A 24015-nucleotide genomic window follows, 5' to 3' on the forward strand; every position below is an offset into this window, starting at 1 on the left:
AGAACTAATGGCTCTGGGAAGATAGTGTATCAATACCTCAGCTCCCTCTCCTCACAGGGCACACACCTCTGAGGAGTATATTCTACATGGTCTCCCTGAAGTCCTACAGGCTTGAACTCCAGCTGCCCATCATGGTAACTGGCTCGACCCACACTCCCTGTATTAGCTGCCTCCCTCTCCCTGTCTCACTGCCCCATCCCCCTTCAAGCACTTCCTGGAATCATTTCTCAAACAAACCACTTGCCTTTGAGTCCTCACCTCTGAGCAACCCAAACCAAGACCCTTCAGAAAGGGTTTTATTCTACACTGCACCCAGCACAGCTGTACCTCTGCATCTCCCCAACGGGTACGGCAGCCCCTCGAGGACAGGATGGTGTCTCCAGGTCCTGGCACAGGGCCTGGCATGCTGAACACACTGGATAAATATTTGTTGAGTTGCTGACTGAATAATTCAGCTCTTTAAAGAAAACAGAACATCTTCTGGAAGATGCACAGGCACTCATACTGCCAAAGGGGCTTCCAAATTAGTGGTGGGAGTGGGTGCTGCTTTAATGGAGCCCAGATTTCTACTGCCATTAGTGGCATCCATTTGCATGCAGAGAAAGGAGGCACCAGAATACTGGTGAAGAGTTTGTTTCCCTAAGTGGATTAAATGTGCCCCCCAGCAACCAGCACCCGCAGGTAGAGATCAGGCTTCTTGATCTCTGCAGATAGTCTTCCTGAAGTGCCCCTAGAAAGAGCCTGACTTGCTGGGTGCGGTGGCTCACACCTGTAATCCCAGCACTTTGAGAGGCGAGGTGGGTGGATCGCCTGAGGTCAGGAGTTCGAGACCAGCCTGGCCAACATGGTGAAACCCTGTCTCTACTAAAAATACAAGAATTAGCTAGGTGTGGTGGTGCACACCTGTAATCCCAGCTACTCGGGAAGCTGAGGCAGGAGAATTGCTTGAACCCAGGAGGCAGAGGTTGCAGTGAGCTGAGATCATGCCATTGCACTCCAGCGTGGGTGACAAGAGCAAGACTCCACCTCAAAAAAATAAAATTAAATTAAAAAAGAAAGAGCCTGACCCTGCCACTGGTTCATCTGACACTCTAAGGGAAGCCTCTTAGTGGAATCAGGTGGTTTTCCACCTTCATGCCTTTGTCTCGGCCATGCGTTCTGCCTGGAATTCCTTTTATCTATCTCTAAAACAATGGTTTATCTTTCAAGATTTGCCCCAAGCAGGATCTCTCTGGGGTCTTTTCTTTTCTCCTTCTAGGACTGCCCAACCTGAGTTCCCCTTTTCATCTCCATTGACACTTCGGGTGTTTTTGGGTGTCTCTGACACTTCAGAGTGTTGCATCTGGAGCAGGAATCCTGTCTGTTTCTCTCCATGCCCCGACGCCTGGTATACAGTAGGTGGCCAATGCTTGCTGACATGTACAGCTTTTTCCTCCTTGGCTCTAAGCCTGAGAAGCTTGGAGGCTCACCCCATGCCCTCACCATACCTGGTCATAGCTGGGATCTCAGAGGCCCAAGGTCAAGTGCCAAGAGGATTCCTAGACTTCTGTAGAAGGAGAAAAGAAGAGATGGGGAGGGAACGCAAAGGAGCTGGGATGGCTGGACAAGGGACAACACCCCCCCACCAACAACCCACTCCTAGATCCTAGGGTGCCAAGTCAGCACTGGGTACCCTCGTCTTATCACCCATCAATACTGCAAAATACCTGGAAAGAACTCTCTCCATCCTGGCCACAAGATCCTACTGGGAAGCAAATTTCTGAATAAAGAGATGGAGACAGGGACCCCAGGTTCTGGATTTGGGGCAGAAGGCCCAAGACTTAGTCCATCATGTAGCTTCAGAGAAGTCCCATGAGCCAAGGTGGAAGAGACCAATAGACAGGTTCCAAATGCCCCTCCCGGCTGTCCCTCCTTGGCAGGAACTGGCCTGTCTCAGCCTTCCCACAGGGCAGCTGTCATGATTCAATGAGATGTGTTCACCTGCAAGAGGTCACTCATCCAATCTGCACCCATCTAATGAGCACTTACTGTGTGCCAGGCACTGTCCTAGGCCTCCAGGGTTGGGCAAAAAACAAAATAGACAGGGACCCTTCATTTGTGAGGAAGAGGAAGACAGGGCATAGCAGAGTGGACAGGAGGGAAACAGGAAGAGGAGAAAGAGGCGGGCAGGGCAGTCCCTCAGAGTCTGGCAGATTGCTGACAAGGTTGGGCTTGATTCTAAAGACAACAGGCTTTTGGAGGCTGAGACAGGTGGATCACCTGAACCCAGGAGAAGTTCAACACCAGCCTGGGCAACAAGGTGAAACCCCGCCTCTACAAAAAATACAAAAATTAGCCAGGTGTGTTGGTGCGTGCCTGTAGTCCCAGCTACTCGAGAGGCTACGGTGAGATAATTACCTGAGCCCAGGGAGGCCGAGGCTGTGGTGTGTTGATTGAGCCACTGCATTCCAGCCTGGGTGATGGAGTGAGACCCTGTCAAGAAAGAAAGGGAAGGGAAGGGAGAGGGAGAGGGAGAGGGAAGGGGAGAGAGAGGGAAGGGAAGGGGAGAGAGAAGGAAGGGAAGGGAAGAGAGAGGGGAAGGGAGGGAGAGAAGAAAAGAAAAGAAGAAAGGAAAGAAGGAAGGAAGGAAGGAAGGAAGAGAGAGAGAAAAAGAAAGAAAGAAAGAAAAAGAAAGAAAGAAAGAAAGATAGAAAGAAAGAAAGAAAGAAAGAAAGAAAGAAAGAAAGAAAGAAAGAAAGAAAGAAAGAAAGAAAGGAAGGAAGGAAGGAAGGAAGGAAAAAAAGAAATGGGAGGGAGGGAAAGAAGGAAGGAAGGAAAGGAAGGAAGGAAAGAGAGGAAGGGAGGGAGGGAGGGAAAGAAAGAGAGAGAGACAGAAAACAGGACACCCAGAGAAAATTTCTAGCACAATAGTAGCCTCCCCCAATTTGTGCCCCTCCAAGGTGCCCAAAACGGGTGTATCCTTGTCTGGCATCCATGGGCATCTGGCCTTTTCCCCCTAATAACCATGCCTCCCCTTTCTACAGGCAGCTGCTTGCAACCTTTGAATGTTCCTGGCTCAGTCTCAAAAACTAGAATCCTTGGCCGCCCTCTGAAAGGGATTAAATCACTCAAAAACAAAGTTAAACAACTTAGAGATAGTAGCAAGAACCACAACAAGGTGTAGCAAAGGATCCGCAGCCATCACACTGAGCCCTTGGTCACTGTCTGGGTGGAAGCACCCTGTTCTGCCCTGTCCTGGTTCTCTTTTATACTCCCAAGGAGAGTTCGTGCATTCTAGTAAATGCATCATCTTTCTTTGGGCCAGTTTGGCGTTGCACTTCCCTTCTTTCCAGATTATTTCATGAGGTGATCCTTGCTATTAACCAAACCTGCTCTGTACATGCCATGCTGGTATGAAGTTCAGTTGGCCACAAGGAGTGGGTGATCAAAATTTACAGGCTGAGGCAGGAGGATCACTTGAAGCTACGACTTCAAGACTGGCCTGAGCAACATTGCAAGACCCTATCTCTATAAAAATAAAAAATAGCCAGGTGTGGTGGTGTGTATCTAATAGTCCTAGCTACTCAGGAGGCTGAGATGGGAGGACCTCTTGAGTTCAGGAGTTTGAGCCTGCAGTGAGCTGTGATTGTGCCACTATACTCCAGCCTGGGTGACAGTAGAAGACTCTGTTTAAAAAAAAAAAAAAAAAGGCCAGGCCAGGCGCAGTAGCTCGCCCCTGTAATCCCAGCACTTTGGGAGGCCGAGGTAGGCAGATCACGAGGTCAGGAGATCGAGACCATCCTGGCTAACATGGTGAAACCCCGTCTCTACTAAAAATACAAAAAATTAGCCGGGCATGGGGGCGGATGCCTGTAGTCCCAGCTACTCGGGAGGCTGAGGCAGGAGAATGGCGTGAACCCGGGAGGTGGAGCTTGCAGTGAGCCGAGATTGCACCACTGCACTCCAGCCTGGGAGACAGCAAGAATCTGTCTCAAAGAAAAAAAAAATTAGCAGCCTCCCAGGGAAGGGTTTCTAGCCATCTGTTGATGTCCACTGACTCGGGAATCTTGGGGATTCCTGTTCTTCCTCCATCTGCACCCCCAGACTCAGGCATGTGAGTTGCTACCAGGCCACCTTCTCACCAAGAGTCAGAAGATCTGCCCACAGAGCTGGGGAAGAGTTGGAGCTGTCATAAATAGTGAAGACTGGTGCACTCATTCTGGAAGCATCTTATTGACAAACGAGTCAATGGTGTAGCTATAGCAGGCAGCCTTTTCCATCAGATTTCTCCTCTCAGCCAAACTCCTTGGCCTGTCCTCCAGGGCTTTTCATGGACTTGTACCCACTGACTTTGTCTGACTCACATCCTTCCATATCCCAACTTCCCCTCTTTATTCCAGCCCCATCAGACCAGCCAGCAGTCCCTTTTCAGCCTCTGCACCTGTGCACATGCTGTTTCCTCTTTCTGTGCTGGGTAAATTCATGCGCAATACCCAGCTAAAATATCCCTTCCTCCAGGAAGCGCCTCTGGTCCTGAGTCTGTCTCTCACCTTAATCTGACATTCTGGGTCCATCTCCCCGACTGGACTAGAAGGTTCTTCAGGGTGTGAACTTTGTGTTTTACACCTTCACATTTGGCCAGTTCCTGGTACCAGACGGTCCTGTGGAGTTACGTAACGTAAGCTTCGGAGACTCAGTTTCGTCAACTGGATAATGGGATTATCATGCCAACCTCCTAGCATTGTGGGGAGGAGGGAATGAGCAAGGCCTGTGAAGCTCCGCACAGAAGCTGCCCCTCATAGCAGTCCCAGGGGTGGGCAGAACAGTGCCAGCCCCGACCTGGGGGGAGTGAGGATGACAACCAGTGTGCATCAGTCCCCTGCTGCAGAGGTGCAGACTATGGGTCATTCACTTCTTGTGGCTCAAAGCCACCTTCGTCTCCTGTCCTCCCCCTGACCCTGCAGAGGGAGCAGTCCCTGCCAGGTTAACACTCACTGACCTCATACCACACCGGTCAAGAGACCAAAAGGAGAACTCATTTCCCAGCCAGGAGCCAGCTGTCCACACAGAAGTCACGAGGCTCAGCCCAGGTGAAAGCTGAGCCTGAGTCACGGAGGCGCCTGCCTCCTGCCCTCGGCCCTAGCAGGACTCAGACAGAACAGGGTGAGGCTCTCCCAGTTCCCAAGGACCTCCTGGTGCCAGGAGCTTCCCAGACGTCATCTCAAATCCCCGCACCAGCCTGGTGAGGGGTGCACCCTTAGTATCCCCACTGTACAGATGGGAAAAATGAGGCTGAGTGTTGAATGACGTGCCCAAGGTCTCACAGCTGCTAAGTGGGGGAGCCAGGATTTGAACCCATGTCCCTAGGACATTCTAGTCTTCTCCATTTCCTGACCTTGGTCAATTTCTGCTGTGGGTATTTTCAGCCTGGGCACACCCTCCCCACCCCAACATCCACACTCTTTATTTAGGCGTGTAGCTGAGTGGGCCTTTGAGAAACAGCAGATAACGATACAGGTTCTCACCCAAAGCTCCGGGATGTTGTCTCCACCGAGGGTCAGAGGGTTGGGAGCCCAGCTCAGCCAGCCCCATAACTCACAGCCCGGACAGAAGGGGCTTGTGCTAGAAGATCGAGCCCCAGCTGATCCCCCTGCTGTGTGGAGAGGGTCAGGAATGGGCCCAGATCCACCCTCCCACCTGGCGACTGCATTTATTGAGTGCCTGCTCTAGTCGCCACCCAACAAGTGGCTTTCTTTCACTTCCATGCATGTGTCCCACATGATCCTGCCTCCCAGTCTTTATGCCCGCAGGCCTTCCCTCATCTACTTAGCAGACATGCATTGAGCCCCTACTGTGTTAGGCACTGGGAAGAGAGCAGGGGACAAGGTGAACACAGTCTCTGCTCTGTTACCACGTGGAGGAAACACAATACACAGCAAAGTGAACCAGTCGCTAAATAAGTCAAGATTGCATGGGGCTGCAGAGGAAACGAACTGAGCACTGTGCATCACGTGGGGGCAGTCAGGAGGGCTCCCTGGAGGAAGAGGCACCTGAGCTGAATGCCTAGAGATGAGAAGGCAAGGGTCTGGAGGAGGAGCATGGACTAGGGTTAATAAAGCAAGAGAAGCATTTGCACAGTTCCTGCCATACAGTAGGGCTCCCTCAATGTCATTCATGCTGTCTGCCTAGTATAACACCATATAACCACACCATCCTTCAGCTACCGAGCACTTTATAATTTATGTAGTGCAGAGCACTTCACAGTTTATATCGCATGTTCCCACTGAAGACCTTCTTAGCTCCTCACATCTGCCCTGAGGTGCAGATGAGGACACTGAGGTTGAGAGGAAAATGTCACCCAAGGTCACACAGCCAGATGTCTCCCTCCTAGCCCAGGCCTCCTGCCTCTCTCTACCTGCCTCTCTACCTGCCTTTCCCTAGAAGGCAGCGGCTAGAGGACCTCTGCCTTCACCCCCTCACAGGCCCACCAGCCTCCTGGGAGGGAGGGCGGCTCTGCACCAGCCCATATATAACCCACTCCATGCACCTTCTCCACATTAATAAATGGGGAACAGTGGGGTCATAAATCCTGGGGCTGCCAATGTCCCCGGGACCAGCTCTTTCTCTGGCCACGCACTAGTACTTTTTACAACCCATTAATTAGTCCCTCTAATAAAGTTTGACAAAATGATAACTTGCCCATGAAAAGTGTTGTAATAAATACATTTTCCCTAACTTTTGACCGTTCGAGCATGGCCGCCTCATAAACCCTCTGCCACGGTTCACTGCCTTATTGTCTCTCTATATTTCTCCATCACCATGGAAGTTCAGGGCCTGGGGCCTCATGGACTCAGGACAGGCCTGGGCCTGATTCTGGGAACCCAGCATCACCAGGGAGACAGCCACGGGTGGTCCCTCCCCTGCTCAAGACCTGCAGCGGCTCCCACTCCCACAGGATGGCAGTTGCCAAGCTCCAGTCTCTCCTTCCTGAGTCCTGTTCTATCCATGTGGCCCCTGAACAAACTGTTTCTGGACATTATGTTTCCTTCAAACTGATTCTCTTAAATAAATTTATTTTGCAAGGAAGCTTTAGAGCATCATTATGGAAAACTGGAAAAGCCGTATAACAATCACTGAAAAGGAAATTAAAACAAACACAATGCAAACAAAAGATGTCATTAGGCCAGGCATGGTGGCTCACGCCTGTAACCCCAGCACTTTGGGAGGCCGAGGCGGGCAGATTGTCTGACCTCAGGAGTTTGAGACCAGCCTGGGCAACACGGCAAAACCCCGTCTCCACAAAAAATACAAAAATTAGCCAGGCTTGGTGTCATATGCCTGTAGTCCCAGCTACTTGAATGGCTGAAACAGGAGGATCACTTGAGCCCGAGAGGTCGAGGCTGCAGTGAGCTGTGTTCGCGTCACTGCACTCCAGCCCTGGGTGACAAAGTGAGAGCCTGTCTCAAAAATAAAAAATAAAAAAGTCACTAAATCTCAGACAACCATTACTGCTTTTTTTCCTGGCAATTTGAGCCCGAGGCCTGCCTTCTCTCTTTTTGTTGTAAAGGAAGGTCCATGGGGCTAGAGAGGCATTAAACACACATCAGCACCAAGCTGAGAGACTTTCTCCCCAGTGTAGACAGAGGGTCTGAAAAAGAATTTCAAGAAGAATGATGTCCCTTGGAGAGTCTCTGGGACTGAATGCCACATCCCTGTGCACCGCCCAAGAGGGTCCCGTGCAGCAGCCGGGATGGCACCCCGGTGGGCCTCGGGGTGGGAATCTGGTTAGAGAAGGGACTGAGGTCCCATCTGTAAGACCCTGGTACCTCGCCAGCCCACTGTGTTCCACATAGTAACATGAGACAGGGTTATTCCCATTGCACTGAAAGTTGAGAGAATGGTTATTGTTCCTAAGAAAGGGTAACAACTCAAGAGCGGTTTGTGGGGAGCAGGCTGGAGAATTATCAGCGTTCACTCCCAGCCATCCAACATCATTTGTCTCTTCCCCCTCCCCATTTAGGGGAATTTATAACCAGCCATTGGCTTGGCATCTGATCGGCACTGTCCTCTGGATCTGCCTGGGATTCCCAGATTTCAGACCCAGGCTCTCTTAGGCTTCTCCACGCTCCTGTACTATCCCAGCAGCAAGACCAGGTCAGCTCCCTAGGATCATCTGCGTTGGAACTCCAGACATTTCTTTCTTTTTTTTTTTTTTTTTTTTAGACAGGGTCTTGCTCTGTTGCCCAGGCTGCAGTGCAGTGGCGCAATCTGAGTTCACTGCAACCTCTGCCTTCCAGGTTCAAGTAATTCTCCTACCTCAGCCTCCTGAGTAGCTGGGATTACAGGCACCTTCCACCATGCCCGGCTAATTTTTGTATTTTTAGTAGAGACGGGGTTTCACCGTGTTGGCCAGGCTGGTCTCTAACACCTGACGTCAAGTGATCCACCCACCTCAGCCTCCCAAAGTGCTGGGATGACAGGCATGAGCCATCACACCTGGCCCGACCTCCCGACATTCCCCACTCATGTCACCTAATGTAATGAGTTTGTTGTAGGATTATCATTCTCCATCTGTGTTCCAGCACCCTGCTCTGCACAGAGGAGGGGCTCAAGCAGTGTGGTCTGAATGAGTGAGTGCGTGAGAACTGGAATGTCTGATGACGTGTCACTCCACTTTACAGATGAGCAAAGCAAGGCCCAAGAGAGAGAAATGACGAGGCCAAGTGCCCAGCATGTCTGGAGCAGAGCTGAAACCCTAGAATGCTACCTTTGAACCCTGCTCAGTGCTCATTCCTCTGCAGCCACAAAAACCCACCAGAGATATTTTTGGCCCAATCACTGCCCACCTGGACAGGTATGGGTTTCCTATTCCTGTGCCAACTTCAAAAATGTGAAAATCCACAAAACCAACAGCTCACCATGATAGCTGACGCGGGTTGCCCAGTCCCAAGCCCTGGTCCCAGCCCACCAGAGTTGGCCTTGAGCTCTGCGGGCCTTGCCGATGGAGGGCACCCTGCCCAGGCCTGCGTCAAGTGCCCCAGGTGGGTGCTACCTGTTCATCGCTGCCAAGCCTCCCAATACTCCTTCAAGGATGGGCTGTTTGTGCCCATTTGACAAGTAAAGCAACTAAGGTTCCAAGAGCAGAAGGCACAGAGCCTCACCTTAAAACCAGTCGTCCTCACCTCTGAAGGGTGATCACTGGGGCTGGTCCTGTTCTGAGACTGTAGCACATGGGGAGTGATGTGTCTGCCACATAATGCCTAACACCCCACCACTAGTCTCGCTCACATGGAAAAAGCAATGTATTACTGAAAGCCTCTTTTAAAAAGCAGCAAGGGAGTCTAGTACAGTGGAAAGGGCAATGGGTTGGGAATGAAAAGATGTGAATTCTAGTTGCGGTTGTGCTATCAACTCACTTTACAGCCTTGGATGAGTCTATCCAACCCCCTCTCCAGACCAGTTTTCCAGGAGTATGGATGGGGGAGGGGTGGGGGAAGAATGCTTGGCCAGAGCATTGTTTCCCATAGCGTGGGGTGTGTGCCCTGAGAGATTAATTTAGGGGGATACATGGACTCAACATTAACAATTACATAATGAATGCCCGGGTGTGGTGGATCATGCCCGATATCCCAGCACTCTGGGAGGCTGAGGCAGTTGGATTGCTTGAGCCCAGGAGTTCAAGACCAGCCTGGGCAACATAGCGAGACCCTATATCTACAAAAAGTTTAAAAATTAGTCAGTTATGGTGGTGTGTGCCTGTAGTGCCAGCTACTTGGGAGGCTGAGGCAGGAGGACGGCTTGAACCCAGGAGTTTGTGGCTGTAGTGAGCCATGATCACACCACTGCACTCCAGCCTGAGTGACAGAGCAAGACCCTGTCTCAAAAAAAAAAAAAAAAAGAATTTTGTAAATGAAATCATTGTTTCCTCTCTGATCACTTTCCTGATTACTAACAAGAAGAAAACCTCGGTTTGGTGCTGATGTGTCTTCAACGCCTCCCCTTTTGCTACCTCCCTTTTTAACAAAAACCAAGCAGACCTCAGGCCGAGAGCCCTCGGCAGACGGCAGCGCCTGGCTGAACTTTCACAGACCACTCCGCTTTGTTTTCGTTGCACTTTTGTTTAAGGTCACCGTCTTTTCAGGGCAAGTGGAACGTGCTTTTCATTTACTCTAGCAGTATAAAGTGTCCTTTTTAAATACGCTCATTTAAGCTGAAAGAATGAGTTGGTTTCATGAAAAGTACCGAATCAATATGAGCATCGGTAGAAGTGAAATTAGGAAAAATGGCAAAGTGGAAAGTGGATGATGGGCTGGAGGGGCTCTCTTGGGGCAGCTGGGGGCTCCCAGGTTCACAGCCCAATCAACATAAGGAGCAGCCCCTCACTTCACAGTTCGCAAAAGCCTTTTCCAAGCACAGTCTCAGTCAATGCATCCTGTGCCCGGCAACCCTGTTTTCCAGGGCCTCACCCACAGCCACAGCCACGTCTTGTAAGCATCCCAGCTGCCAATCACAGGCTATTGCAGGCACTTTATAGACATCGCTGAACCGCGCCCTACACCTGGCTTGAGTGGAAGGCACAACTCGAACCCCACATGCTAGAAGAGGAAACTGAGGCTCCAAGAGTCACGTGGCAGTTTTTTTCCTGCAGCAGTTGTAACAAATTCGCACAAACTCAGTGGCTGACAACAACAAAAATGCATTCCCTCACAGTTCTAGAAAATGGAAGTCTGAAATCAAGGTATCAGCAGGGCCATGCTCCCTCCAAAGCCTCTCAGCAGGATCCTTCCTCATCTCTTCCAGCTTCCGGTGGCCCCCAGCATTCCTTGGCTGGTGGCTGCATCCCTCCAGTCTCTGCCTCCATCCCCACACGGCCTTCTCTTCTGCGGCCTCCCTCTCCTTCTCCTTCTCCAAGAACACCTGTCATTGGACTTCAGGCCCTCCCTAATCCCGGTTGATACCATCTCAAGATCCTTTATTTATTTACATCTGCAAAGACGTTTTTTCCAAACAGTGACATTCACAGTTTCTGGGGGACATTTTCTGGGAGATTGGGTTGGGGTCACCATTTAACCCACGACAAGCAGTATCAGGATTGATGCTTAGAACAGAGCCTGGTTTCCTTCACTGGACACACAGGCGCACACTGGAGCCCACCTCCCCTGCCCGTACCACCATGGGGGGTGCCCACTCTGCCTCCTCAGACCCAGAAACCCAGGGGACCCGGTGAAACAGCAGGCACCTGGTGTGGCAGGGACCAGGCCTCGCACCATCTCATGCTCCCATTTAATTAGGACAGAAGACTGAACTCTGCTCAATGATACCAGCATCATCCCACTCACCTGCCTGGGGACCCATCTCTTTGAGGAAATTTATAGCCACAATTTAGTAGGTGAATTATGGCCGCTGGCACCTGAGCCATGAGAATTGCCCGGGCACATTAAACCCACCCGCTAACACCCCTTGATGCTGGAACCACCCTCACAGCGCCTGTAAAACAGGGAATGGCAGAGAATGGGGACACTCCTGGGAGCCGCAGGGCCCCCAGGACCACAGCAGCCTCCTGAGCTGGGGGCAGAGAACTGGGTTTTCCTCCAAGCGCTGCCTCACTGGGTGAGCTGTGATGGGTCCTAGGCCCTTTCTGGGTGCCAGTGGCCTGGCAATGCCATGTGTGGTGTGCAGGCCAGCAGCATCCAGGAGATGGTTAGAACTGCAGAAACTCATCAACCCACACTGAATCCAGACCTGCACGTTACCAGGCCCCCGCTCCAGGGGCGTGTGGCCAGAGTGACGCTTGGGAAGCGCTGGCAGGAGCACAGGATGGAGTATGCCTTGGTCTATGGGAGGTGCTGGAACAAAACACCACAGAGTGAGTGGCTTATGAGCCACAGGAATTCACTGCTCACAGTTCTGGAGGCTGGAAATCCAAAATCAAGGCACCTGGGCAGGTTGAGAGTCAGGTGAGGGCCCACTTCCGGGTTCCTAGACTGACTTCTCACTGTGTCCTCACCTGGTGGAACAGGCAAGGAAGCCCTCTGGGGCTGCTTTTATAAGGGCACTAGTTCCATTCACAAGGGATCGACCCTCATGACCTAATCACCTCCCAAAGGACCCACCTCCTAACACCATCACCTTGGGTGTTAAGATTTCAACGTACAAATTCTAGGGTGATACAAACATTCCAACCACAGCAGGGCACAAGCCATGCAAGCCTGGCACACTGTGAATCCAGCCCCCGACATGGACCATGCACGCGCCCACAGTCCCTGCCACCCCTCAGAGACACCACACATGGTGCACACACACCTCACTTCACACATTCATGGAAACGCATGCTCCAAGACACAACACACCCTCATATATGCACCTATGCACAATCTGTGCCCATTCCCAAATGTGTCACTGATGGTAGGATTGCAGGCAGCTGAGAAAGACAGCTTGAGGTTCTCATACACGTTTGTCCATTCAGCATATTTACTAGCCAGTGACTGGTAGCCAGGCATGCACCAGGTGTCTGCGTGTGAAGTTGAAGAAGGAGGAGTCCCTGGCCCTCAGCTCAAGGTCACGATGTGGTCTGACTGATGCAATAACAGGTGGATATGCACAGTAATGGGAGAGGGAAGGGGAGGAGATCGACCAGCCCTTAGGGAGAAGGTGGACCAGAGAGGCTTCCCAGACAAAAAGACCTGGGCTGGATCCCAGCAAATAAGTATGAACGTTCTTGGCAGGCAAAGTAAGTGTATTCATCTGTTTTCACACTGCTGTAAAGAACTTCCTGAGACTGGGTAATTTATAAAGGAAAGAAGTTTAATCGACTCACAGTTCAGCATGCCTGGGGAGGCCTCAGGAAACTTAGAATCATGGCAGAAGGCCAAGGGGAAGCAAGGCACCTTCTTCACAAAGCATCAGGAAGAAGTGTTGAGCGAAGTGGGAAGAGCCCGTTATAAAACCATCAGATCTCGTGAGAACTCACTCACCATCACGAGAACAGCCCAGGGGAAACTGTCGCCACGATTCAACTACCCCCACCTGGTCTCTCCCTTGACATGTGGGTATTATGGGGATTACAATTCGAGATGAGATTTGGGTAGGGACACAGAGCCTAACCATATCAGTAAGAAAGGACATTTTCAGTAGAGAGAACAGAAGCAGCAAAATCCTAGAGGCATAAATAGGTGGCTCAGGGCAGGCGAAGGTACGGAATGCATGCCATGCCTGATACCAAGTTTCCTAAATTGGACTCAAGTCCTCTAGTCCTCTCCACTCCCCTCCTGGCACCCCAATCAGGCCACCCTCACCTCTTCTTCGCACCAGAACAACAGCATTCTTGCAGGGCTCCTTGCTCGACTTAAGTCTTTACTCCTTCCAGACCCACTCACCTCCCTCTACAGCCACAGGGACCTTCCTACCATGCAAATCTGATCATATCGCCCTCTTGATAAGCCCTGCCTTGGCTCCCTGGTGCCCTAAGACTAAAGACTAAAGTTTCCAGGTAGGTCTTTCAGGTTCTGTCCAACTTTCATATCAAGTTGCATCTGCAATGCTGTTTTAATCTCACTCAGCTCCCTCACACTGCCTTACCTTTACATGCGCCATTTCTTCTGCCTGAAGGTCCCTTTCCCAACCCCCTTCTCCACCTGTCAAACTCCTACTCACCCTGCAAAACCCACGCTGCCAAAGGTCTTTTCATCCAAGATGCCTTCCATGAGAGATGCTTGGAAAGGAGAAATAATTAAGCGCTGGGGTCAGGTCTTCAGTGGTTTCTCAGAAATTCGGGCTCTGGGATGAGACAGAAGCCGGAATATGAAGGAGTTTTAAGGTTCAAACACATCCACAAGGCAACCCCAAAACAATTTTCGGAGGCTTTTTTCTCTTTCTTTCTTTTTTAAATTAGATTTTCATATTTCAGAGATTAAGAAGCTCAAAACATTTTCCGTGATAATCTTTCTTAGTGCCTCAGGACAGCCAAACTGGTTTTACTTTTATTCCCTCAGACCTGAGCTTTTTGAGCACTTAGGACAAATGAAGCCCTATTTCACAAAGAAGGAAAACGCACAAAACCCACCCCCTCAAGGCCTGCACTAGATTGAGGCCATGAGGAAATAACAACAACAATAATGATAACAATAGCTGTCAGGGCTCTGGGAAGGGGTATTATAGACAAGGTCTCTGACCACAAAAGAGGCTGCACAAATCCACATAAAACAACCTCAAACCAGCGAGGCTGTAGGCCATGAGCTGAACCGGGGTGTGAGGATATTCCAGAGGCTGTCAGAGGGCCGTGTGGCAATCCAGGAGGGCTTTATGGAGGAGGGAAGTTTCTCCTCCCACAGCCTCAGTGACCTAAATTCCCCCTAACGAAGGGACAGGCCACTGGGGCCTGGCCTGGGTGTGCTGGTCCCCTACAGCTATTTCAGGCACCCCGTGCTCCATCAAGGCAAAGATACACTCCTAAGTGACTTTTCAAATTAGATTGTTTGGAATTCCTAGCCAGTGCAATTAATGGATCCCAAACACTGTTAATTATGTTTTCTGTGGTCAGTGTACACAGAGGCTGATCGATTCTCCCTGAACAGCCTATTACGGAGGCACTGCAGATCAAGCCCGCCTGGAGAGGTAAGGAGACCAAGCCTGGCGCCGGGGTTGGGGGCTTTAGAGACTTTTCACCAAGCAAGGCTCCATGCGAACCCACCTGCCTGCCTTCGGAGTGTGGCACCAGCACACTCAAGCCAGATGGAGTTGCATGTTCACACCCAGAGAGCAGAAGACCCTGAGACCTTTTCACTTGGGAGGGAGCAAATGAGCCTGATTTCTAAGTGTGCTACTGTGTGTGCATGTGAGGTGTCTTTGTGCCAGGTGTGTGCACGTGTATATGTGCAGAAGAGGTGGCTGCAGGTGCTTGTATGTGAGTGTGTGCGGGGGCATGACTGGAAGGATGTATGATTGAAGAGATGAGTGCGCACCTTTGTGTCTGAAAGCTACATGTTATTGAAACTGTGGGCATGTTTGAGTCCAATCAATCTGCTATAACAAAATACTGTAGACTGGATGGCTTGCAAATAACAGAAACTTACTTCTCAAGGTGCTAGAGGCTGGGAAGTCCAAGACCAAAGCTCTGGTAGATTCCATGTTTGGTGGGGGCTGGCTTCCTGGTTCAGAGATGGCCCCTCCTTCTCAAAGTGTCTTCACATGGTGGCAAGGGTGAAGAAGCTCTCAAGGGCCTTTTATTTTTTATTTTTATTTTTTTTTTTTTTTGCGACAAAGTGTCGCTCTGTTGCCCAGGCTAGAGTGCAGTGGTATGATCTCAGCTCACTGCAACCTCCACCTCCCGGATTCAAGCAACTCTTGTGCCTCAGCCTCCCAGGGAGCTGGGATTACAGGCATGTGCCACCACACTGGCTAATTTTTTGTATTTTTAGTGGACACGGGGTTTCACCCTTTTGGCCTGGTTGGTCTCAAACTCCTGGCCTCAAGTAATCCACCTGTCTCAGCCTCCCAAAGTGCTGGGATTACAGGCATGAGCCACTGCACCTGGGCTAGAGCCTCTTTTTTTATGATTATTGTTTTGAGACAGGGTCTTGCTCTGTCACCCAGGCTGGAGTGTAGCGGTACAATCACGGCTCACTGCAGCCTCCAGCTCCTAGGCTCAAGCAATCCTCCCATGGAATCCCATGTAGCTGGGACTACAAGCATGTGCCACCACATCCAGCTAACTTTTATTTTTTTTTTTAGTAGAGACACAGTCACACTATGTTGCCCAGGCTGGTCTCAAGCTCTTGAGCTCAAGCAATCCTCCCACATTGGCCTCCGGAAGTGTTTTGATTACAGGTATAAGCCACCACACCTGGCCTGGGACCTCTTTTATAACAGCGCTACTATGGTTTGAATGTCTCCTCCAAAGTTCACATTGAAGCTTAGTTGCCATTGTAAGGGTATTGAGAGATGGGGCCTTAAGAGGTGATTAGGTTATGAGGGCTCTGTCCTCATGAATGGATTAATGCCATTATCACAGGAATAGGTCAATTATGGTGGGAATGATAAAAGGATGAGTTCTGTCCAACTCTCTCTTGGTCTCATGTACTCACTTGCTATGTGATGCCTTCTGCCATGTTCTGATGCAGCACAAATGTCCTCAACAGATGCCAGCACCATGCTCTTGGACTTCCTAGCCTCCAGAACCATGAGAAATAAATTTTTCTTTATAAATTACCCAGTTTCCAGTATTCTGTGATAACATGAGAAACGGGACTAAGACAAGCACTGATGCCATACATGACATGAGGGCTCCATACCCATGACCAAATCACCGCCCAATGTCCCCCCCTCCTAATACCAATACCTTGGGGGTTAGGTTTCAACATATGAATTTTGGGGCAACACAAACTTTCAGCCTCTAGCAGGGTAGATGTAGGTGTTAACCAAGTTAAGTGTGGGAAAGTGTGCAAAATTAAAGTGTGCCTGTGATTGTGTGGAGCAGTGACAAAGAGGGTGTGTAGAGCAGTGACAAAGAGGGTGTGTGGATCAGAGCTGCTCTGAAAAAGTGTGTTCATGAGTGAGGGATGGGTATGAGTTAAGTGCAAGTACATACATGTGTCACCAAGGGTATGCACAGTGAACAAACAGTATGTGGCTGAAAATGTGTGTGTGACTAGCAGAGGTGTGACTGCCAGTGAGTGTTTTAGTGAAGGGGTTCCCATGGGAAGAAACGTGGGTGCATTAGTGGCCTGTAGTATTCATAGGCATAGATAGTCTTTGCCCCTCCATGCAGAAGGATCGCTCTGTCTTGACATCCAACATGGCCACGGGACTTGCTCAAGCCAATAAAATGTGAAAATGCCATGTGTCACTTTCAGGTGGAGTTTCAAGAGTCCCTTCCTGGTTCACCGTCTCCTTTGCTCTTCCACAACCACAAGAAGAGAGAGGCTGCATATCAGTGTGCTGGGAGGAAAGATGAGGTGAAAGAAAGCCCTCACCCAGCCACGATGGATAGAGCGTGAGCAGGAAACAAGCCCCTACTGCTGTGTGGTGCTAAGGTTTGGGGCTGCTTGTTACTACAGCCAAATCCAGCCCAGGCTGACTGATACAGGGACTGGGTGTGAATGACGGGAAGTGGGAGTGGGTAGAGCAGGGGGAGTAAGATAGCATAGGTGTGAGTGAAACCTCTACTGCTGAACAGTGCTGTGTTGGGGGATGTTTGCTACTATGGCATAACCCATCCTGCACTGACTGATAGAGGGACTATGTGGACTGGTGAGTAAGGGAATGTAAGAAGATGAATTTGTGAGTGAGACTGTGCATGTGACTATGTTGAGTTGTCTGTGAGGTTGTGAGTGGGGGTGTGAGGGAGGTCTGAAGGAGGTATTAAGAGTGTAAGGGGCACCTTCCCCCGCCTTGCACCTTCTCCGTATCTGGGGCCCCAGGCAGGGGTTGTACAGAGTATCATCCCACTGCCCACACCGGATACCAGTGGCATCTGCACTCCTTCCTCTTTACCATCGAAATTTCTCTCAAATCTCTCAGCTTCTCCTCCCCATCATGCCACCTGCTAACCTGACCTAGTCTCCCTACTGCTGGCCCCTGTCATGTCCATCTGGAGGGCACAGCTGCCCCCTCTAACTGCACCCACACTCCCAGGCCTTTCTCTGCACAGCAACCAGAAGTCTCTTTCTAAACCCAAGTCTGCGTCTGCCTTTCCCTTCTTTAAAACCCTCCATGGCTCCCATGGCCCCATCGCCCTCCTCCCCACAGCTGAGTCCTGACTCACCCTGTCTCTCTCAGGCTGCTGCCACACTGACCTCCATTCAACCTGTCAGAGCCCATGCTTCCTCTCCCCGAAGACCCTTCACACATGCTGTTCCCTCCCAGCCTAGAATGCTTGTCCCTTCTGCTCTTTACCTAGTTCATATCTCAGCTGCCACTTCCTCCAGGAAGCCCTTCCTGGTATACACTCTCATCACTCTATATGTCTCCCTCTTGAAGCACTGTGTGCTTACTCTGTGAGCTCCCTGTTGGGGAATGGGGAGTGGGGACTGGGTAGGGCCAGGACCTGCTCTTGTTCACCACTGTGTCCCTAATACTGGCATTGTAACCGGCACACAGTAGGCACACAATAAATGCTTGCGAATGAGCAAATGAGTGAGTATGCATGTGTGCATGTGTGTTTGTGGGTGTGATGTGTATGTGGGTGTGCCCCTGCGGTGACAGCTGCTAGAACCCAGTCTGGCCCATCCTCTTTCTTCCCTGCCTCTCCCTCCCCCAACAAGAACCTCAGAGGATGGGGCAGCCTCCCCATCTTTTCTGCACATCTCAGGGGCAAGCAGGGGCAACCTAATGGGAGAGAGGGGCTGCAGGACTCAGGCAAGGAAGGGAAGGTCTGGCTGCAACCAGCAAGGCAGGCTTGGAGGGGATGGCACGACCCTAACTAGACCTAGAGAGACAGGGAAGATTGGAACACAGGTCACTGGGGACTGAGACTGGTGGGGGTGGAAAGGGCTGTCCAGGTGGAGGGTAGAGCAATGAGCAAGGGAGGCCAGAAACTGACTTCTTTAAGTTTAAGCTCCATCAATGCAGGGATCACATCTGTCGTATTCACCACTGTAATCTCCAAAGTATAGTACCTGGCACATAATTAGTGCTCAATAAATATGGGGGAGAGAAAAGAAGGACAGTTTATTGCTCCCTAGGGCTTTTGGGGTGTTTTTTAGAGATGGGGTCTCACTATGTTGCCCAGGCTGGTCTCAAACTCTTAGCTTCAAGCAACCCTCCCACTTCAGCCCTCCAAAGTGCTGGGATTACAGGCAGGAGCCACCGTGCCTGGCCTCCCCAGGGCTTTTATAAGTCAGTCCTGGAGTCCTGAGCTCCAATCAAGGTTCTGCCACATATCAGCCTTGTGAGTCTGGGCAGCCCATTTGCCTTTTTGTAACTCTGTGTCCTCATTAGTAACATAAAAGTGAGATTTGCAGGCCCCTGTGAAAGACAATTGTTTCTGCCTGTCCAGCACCCTGATTCTCCCTCAGGGATCATCCGTCATTCTCCCACCTCCCTTGGACTGTGATGTTAGTTGTTTTTCGATTTTTTTTGTTTGTTTGTGTTTGTTTGTTTGTTTGTTTGTTGAGATGGAGTTTTGTTCTGTTGCCAAGGCTGGAGTGCAGTGGCGCAATCTCAGCTCACTGCAACCTCTGCCTAGAGAGTTCAAGTAATTCTCCTGCCTCAGCCTCCCAAATACCTGGGATTACAAGCATGTGCCACCATGCCTGGCTTATTTTTGTATTTTTTAGTAGAGACGAGGTTTCACCATGTTGGCCAGGCTGGTCTGGAACTCGTGACCTCAAGTGATCCTCCTGCCTTGGCCTCTCTCTGTGATGTTTAAGAGAGCCTTATCCCAGTCCCCAGCTCTTGGAAGGGCACATGACCTGGGCTTGGCCAATCAAAATGCTCCATTCCTGATCCTGTGATTGGCTCAGGAACATGCACATGACCCAAGTACAATCAGTGAGAATGAGTCCTGGAACTTGTGCTGAAACTATTAATAAAAAGCTTTTTTAGGTTTTTCTTGTCTTAGTTCTGACAAGAGAATATAGTTCTGGAATTACTCAGGATTCTGTAAAAAGAGCTTGCCTGTGAGAGGAAAATGGGACCAGGTCCTGCCCTGCAGACATTGTTGGAGCACCTAGATCCAGCCATGCCTGAAGCCAGTCCTGAGCTTTGTGTGTGTGTGTGTGTGTGTGTGTGTGTGTGTGTGTGTGTGTGTGTGTGTGTGGCTGGCACGTAAGTAAAGGCTATACAAATGGTAGCTATAATTAGCAGAATAGGATATGGCACACAATAGGTACTTGGTGGTGTTAGTGCCTGCCTTCTTTCATTCCCCTGCCCCTGGAAACATTGTAGCCTTACTGCCATCCCTTTTTCTGTCCATTATAGATGCTTCCTGAAGGATTGTGGGGCACGTTCAGGGCATGGGAAAAATGTGTTAATGGTAGAATGTCTGTCAGAGCATTTTCCTATCAAGCTGTTCTTCTTCCCCACAGAAGATGCTTAAGGAATAAGACAGATGCCAAAAATAATGAGGCCAAGAGCTGTCGTGGTCCTTGCCTAGCAAATTCACAGCTTCAAGCCATTCAGGCCCTGGGGCAGCCATAGAGAGGGAAGGAGTAGAGAGCCCTCGGGGGTCTTCGGGGGCTGGGCACCTCTCTGCATTAGGCTAACAGTGGGGCCTGGGGTTTCAGAGCTGAGGGCAAGTTCCCATCAGCAAGGCTGTGAGAGCATTTAGTGAATGCCTACTGGATGCTAGGCCTGTGCACTAGTGAATAATAATAAATGAGGAAGCTAGATCAGAGGGAGAAGACCTACACTTAGTAGGTGGTTTTTAACTGCTTATTGGTTGAATGAGTGGACCTTCAGAGATCCGATCCATGGATAGCCTTCACGCCCCAAATGGCCAGGTCAGTATGGGCAGGGGAGGCACTAACCTGGCTGAACATGGGGAGGGAGCAGAGAAGGCTCATGAACTGAGTTGAGCCTTAAAGAATGAGGTCTTAGCAACGAGAAATCCTGTGTGAAGGGGTGGAGAGAAATTCCTGGGAGGAGCAAAGGAGCAACATGCCTCCAGAATACACAGGGAAGAGGGGAGGCTCCAAGCGCAGCAGGGACCTTACAGATCATGCTAAAGAGCTCAGGCTTTGGAGTGGAGCATGGGGGAGCTATGGGAGGGCTTTGAGCAAGGGAGTGGCCTGATTTAGATTTGGGCTTAAGAAAAACCTCTCTAGCCACTATCAGATAGCTTAGAAGGAGAAATCCCGGAGGATGTTAGCATCAATCAGGTGAGTGATACTGGGGGCTGAGACTGATGCCAGAGATTTCAGAAGCAAAATCAAAAAGCTTGGCAGCTTTTGGAGTCAGATGGAAGGCAGCGTGGAGAAGGGGGCCCAGGGAAAGAAATAGGAAGCTCAAGTTCAAGGCCTGGCCTTCTGGGGCTGGGGTGCAGTTTCCTCTTCGGAAAATGGGACTTCATAATGTCTGCCCTGCTAAACTCAGAGAGTTGGCATGAAAAGCAAGTGATAGGATGACTGGGAAAATGCCTTGAATTGTATACAGCAGGGTCGGCAAAGGTTCCCTGTAAAGAGCCAGACAGTAACTACTTTAGGCTTTGTGAGCCATAAGTTCTCTGTCCCTCCTACCACTCAACTCTGCACCACAGACCATACATAAACACGTGGGTGTGGCCGTATTCCAATCAAACTTTATTAGCCCGGGGGTTGTGGTTTGCCAACCCGATTTAAGGCGATATGCAAATACCACCACTTTCTTCTGAGCACTCCTGATATCTCTTCTCTCTTGGCCCTGATTTCTTCCTATTTGTTCTGTCTCCAAAGATCACAGCCCAGAGAAAAAGAAAGTACACTTGGCCCTCCATATATGTGGGTTCCACATCCATGGACTCAACAAACCAGAGTGAAAATATTTGGAAAAAATAAAATGGATGGTTGTGCCTGTACTGAACATGACTTTTTTCCTTGTCATTATTCCCTAAACAATACAGTATAACAACTCTTCACATAGCATTTACATTGTATTGGTATTATAACTAGTTTAGAAATGATTTAAAGTATGTGGGAGGATATGCGTAGGTTATATGCAGATAATACTCCCTTTGTATATAAAGGACTTGAGCATCTGTGGATTTTCATACCCATGTGGTATCCTGGCACAAATTCCCCCTGGATGCTGAGGGATGACTCTACTTCTCCCTAGGTACTCATTGTATAAATGAGGAAACTAGATGAGAGTGAGAAGACCTACACTTAGTAGGTGGTTTTTAACTACTTATTGGTTGAATGAATGTACCTTAGGAGATCCAATCCATGAATAGCATTCATGCCCCAAATGGCCAATCTTATATTCGTGGCAGACATCACAAATCAATCCCAGCATGCTTCTCCGTGGAGCATTGATTCGGCTTCTAAATTCTCAAGTCAACGTTCCAAGTAGTCACCTTCTATTGAGATCAGCACATAAGAAGAAATGCAAACTAGTTCAACCCTTCTATTTTGTAGATGAGGAAATGGAGGCAAAATAAGGTGTCATGGGGGGTCTGGGTGGACCAGCTGGTGCCCTCTGGCTGCCTGTTTCATCCAGCCTGTCCAGAAGCTCCAGAGAAGCCCTCGTCCAGCTGGGAAGGCAGGGGGTGCCAGAGAGAAGCACAGCTGGACAGCTGGCATGGGCTCATCCCAGCGCCTCCCTGCCCAGCCACACTGCGATCGGCTCTGGCGGTGTCCCTTCTGTCCCCCACCCGCCTGCTCCCCACAGCTGCTCTTTTGAAAGCCCTGCATGGGAAGCTGTTGATGCGTCTCTCTGTTCCCTTTTCAGACCATTGTCCCCTCGCTGGCGCCAGCCGTGTTCTTCTCTTGGCTGCTTAATTAACAGTATTATTAAAGCCTAGAGGAAAGAGTCACCCAGATCCTCCCTCAAAGCCACTCATGCTTGGGAAGAGGAGCTGCAGGCAGACAGGAAGCAGGGGCTGGTGCCAGGAGATGCCCCCTCCCCGCCTCCAGGGCCCTTCACTTGCCAATGCCCAGTCGAACCACTTTTCCCCACCTTCCTGGGGCAGCCATTGAGGGCCTGGGAGGGAAGAGGCAGGGAGGAGGTGACTTGCAGCAAGCTTGTCTGGAAATACCCAGATCTGGTTGATAAACCCTGCTCTCAGCAATGGGTGCCAGTCTTCGGGGAGAGGAGCTAGTCCCCCAGCCCTGGGATCAGCTCAGAACTCAACAGTCACATCCTCACTACCTCCATGCAGAGAAGAAGCAGAAGCAGTAGCGGGAAAACATGTCCAGTAGCTGTGTGACCTTGGGCCAAACCATCGCTGTCTCTGTGCTCAATTTCTCCTGTGTAAAAAGTGCTTCTAATGCACCTAGTCCGGTGCTAAGCACTTCATGTGCATTATCTTACCTATTCCTTGTTCCAGTAATCTACTGCTGTATTACAGATTACCCCAAAACATGGTGCCTTAAAGCAACAACAATCATAATCTGTAATTTATGCAGGGTGCAGCGGGATAGCTCATCTCAGCTCCACATGGCATCAGCTGAGACAACTTAACTGTGGGGCAGAGAACCCACCTCCAAAATAGCTCACTCACATGATTGGCAAATTGGTTTTAGCTGTTAGCTGGGAGCTCAGCAGGAGCTATCCACTGGGGGCATGGGGGTGGGTCTCCATTCCTCTCCATGGGCTTCTTGGGCTTCCTCACAACATGGCAGCCAGGTTCTGGGAAGGAGTAACTTAGGAGAACCAGGCACAAGTGCATGGCATTGTCATGACCTAACCTCAGAAGTCATAGCATCACCTCCATGCTACTCTGCTGATTGAGGCAATTCAAATGCCCACCCAAGTTCAAGGAGAGGGAACTTCCACTCAACTTCTTGATGAGAAAATGGTGAGATTCTACAAGGGCATAAGGAATGAGAGATGTGGTTATGACCATCTTTGAAAAACACAATCTGCCACATTCTTCAAAACAACTGGAAGGTCAGTGCAATTATTATTTCCATTTTACAGATTAGGAAACTAAGAATTTAAGTCATTCAGAGAAGTTAAGTAATTTACCCAAAGCCACACAGCTTTGTGGCTGAGCAGGGTTGTGAACATATGCAGCCTGACTTCAAAACATAGGGTTTTTCAAACTTTTTTTTTTTAGCTGCAAAACATATCCTCCTAATAAAATCTTCTGGGAGAGATTTGTGAAAGGAGGTCAAAACAGAGTCAGTGGGGACTTGAACCCTGCCATTGCCTCCAGGATCCTCTCAGGAACTCAAGTTTCCAAAAAAGTTTGAAAATCCCAAGGTACGCTGTTCTCCAAGTCAACAGGCAACAAGGAAAAATCCCCTCCATTGTCTGGCTGGTCTACCTGGTCTAGACTCTGCTCCTGTCATCTTATTTTATGGGCTTCCTGGATTGCTGTCTATGTTAGCCCATTCTCACACTGCTATAAAGAACTATCGGAGACTGCATAATCTATGAAGAAAATAGGTTTAATTGACT

At 50.0% G+C, this 24015-nt stretch overlaps 1 long non-coding RNA gene across 1 annotated transcript in view; it reads right to left on the minus strand.

Annotated features, from left to right (window-relative positions):
• CPMER (cytoplasmic mesoderm regulator) overlaps positions 1-21909 on the minus strand; it is a 39211-nt gene extending 17302 nt beyond the window's left edge. Inside the window, exons 1-3 of the long non-coding RNA NR_186699.1 lie at positions 21820-21909; positions 13633-13755; positions 4530-4640 (exon numbers count right to left, since the gene is read on the minus strand). This is a non-coding gene — a long non-coding RNA (cytoplasmic mesoderm regulator). The remainder of the gene's footprint in view (positions 1-4529; positions 4641-13632; positions 13756-21819) is intronic.
• Between the last annotated feature and the right edge of the window lie 2106 nt (positions 21910-24015).

The sequence above is a fragment of the Homo sapiens genome, chromosome 22, assembly GCF_000001405.40.
Source record: "Homo sapiens chromosome 22, GRCh38.p14 Primary Assembly".
NCBI classification, from domain to species: domain Eukaryota; kingdom Metazoa; phylum Chordata; class Mammalia; order Primates; family Hominidae; genus Homo; species Homo sapiens.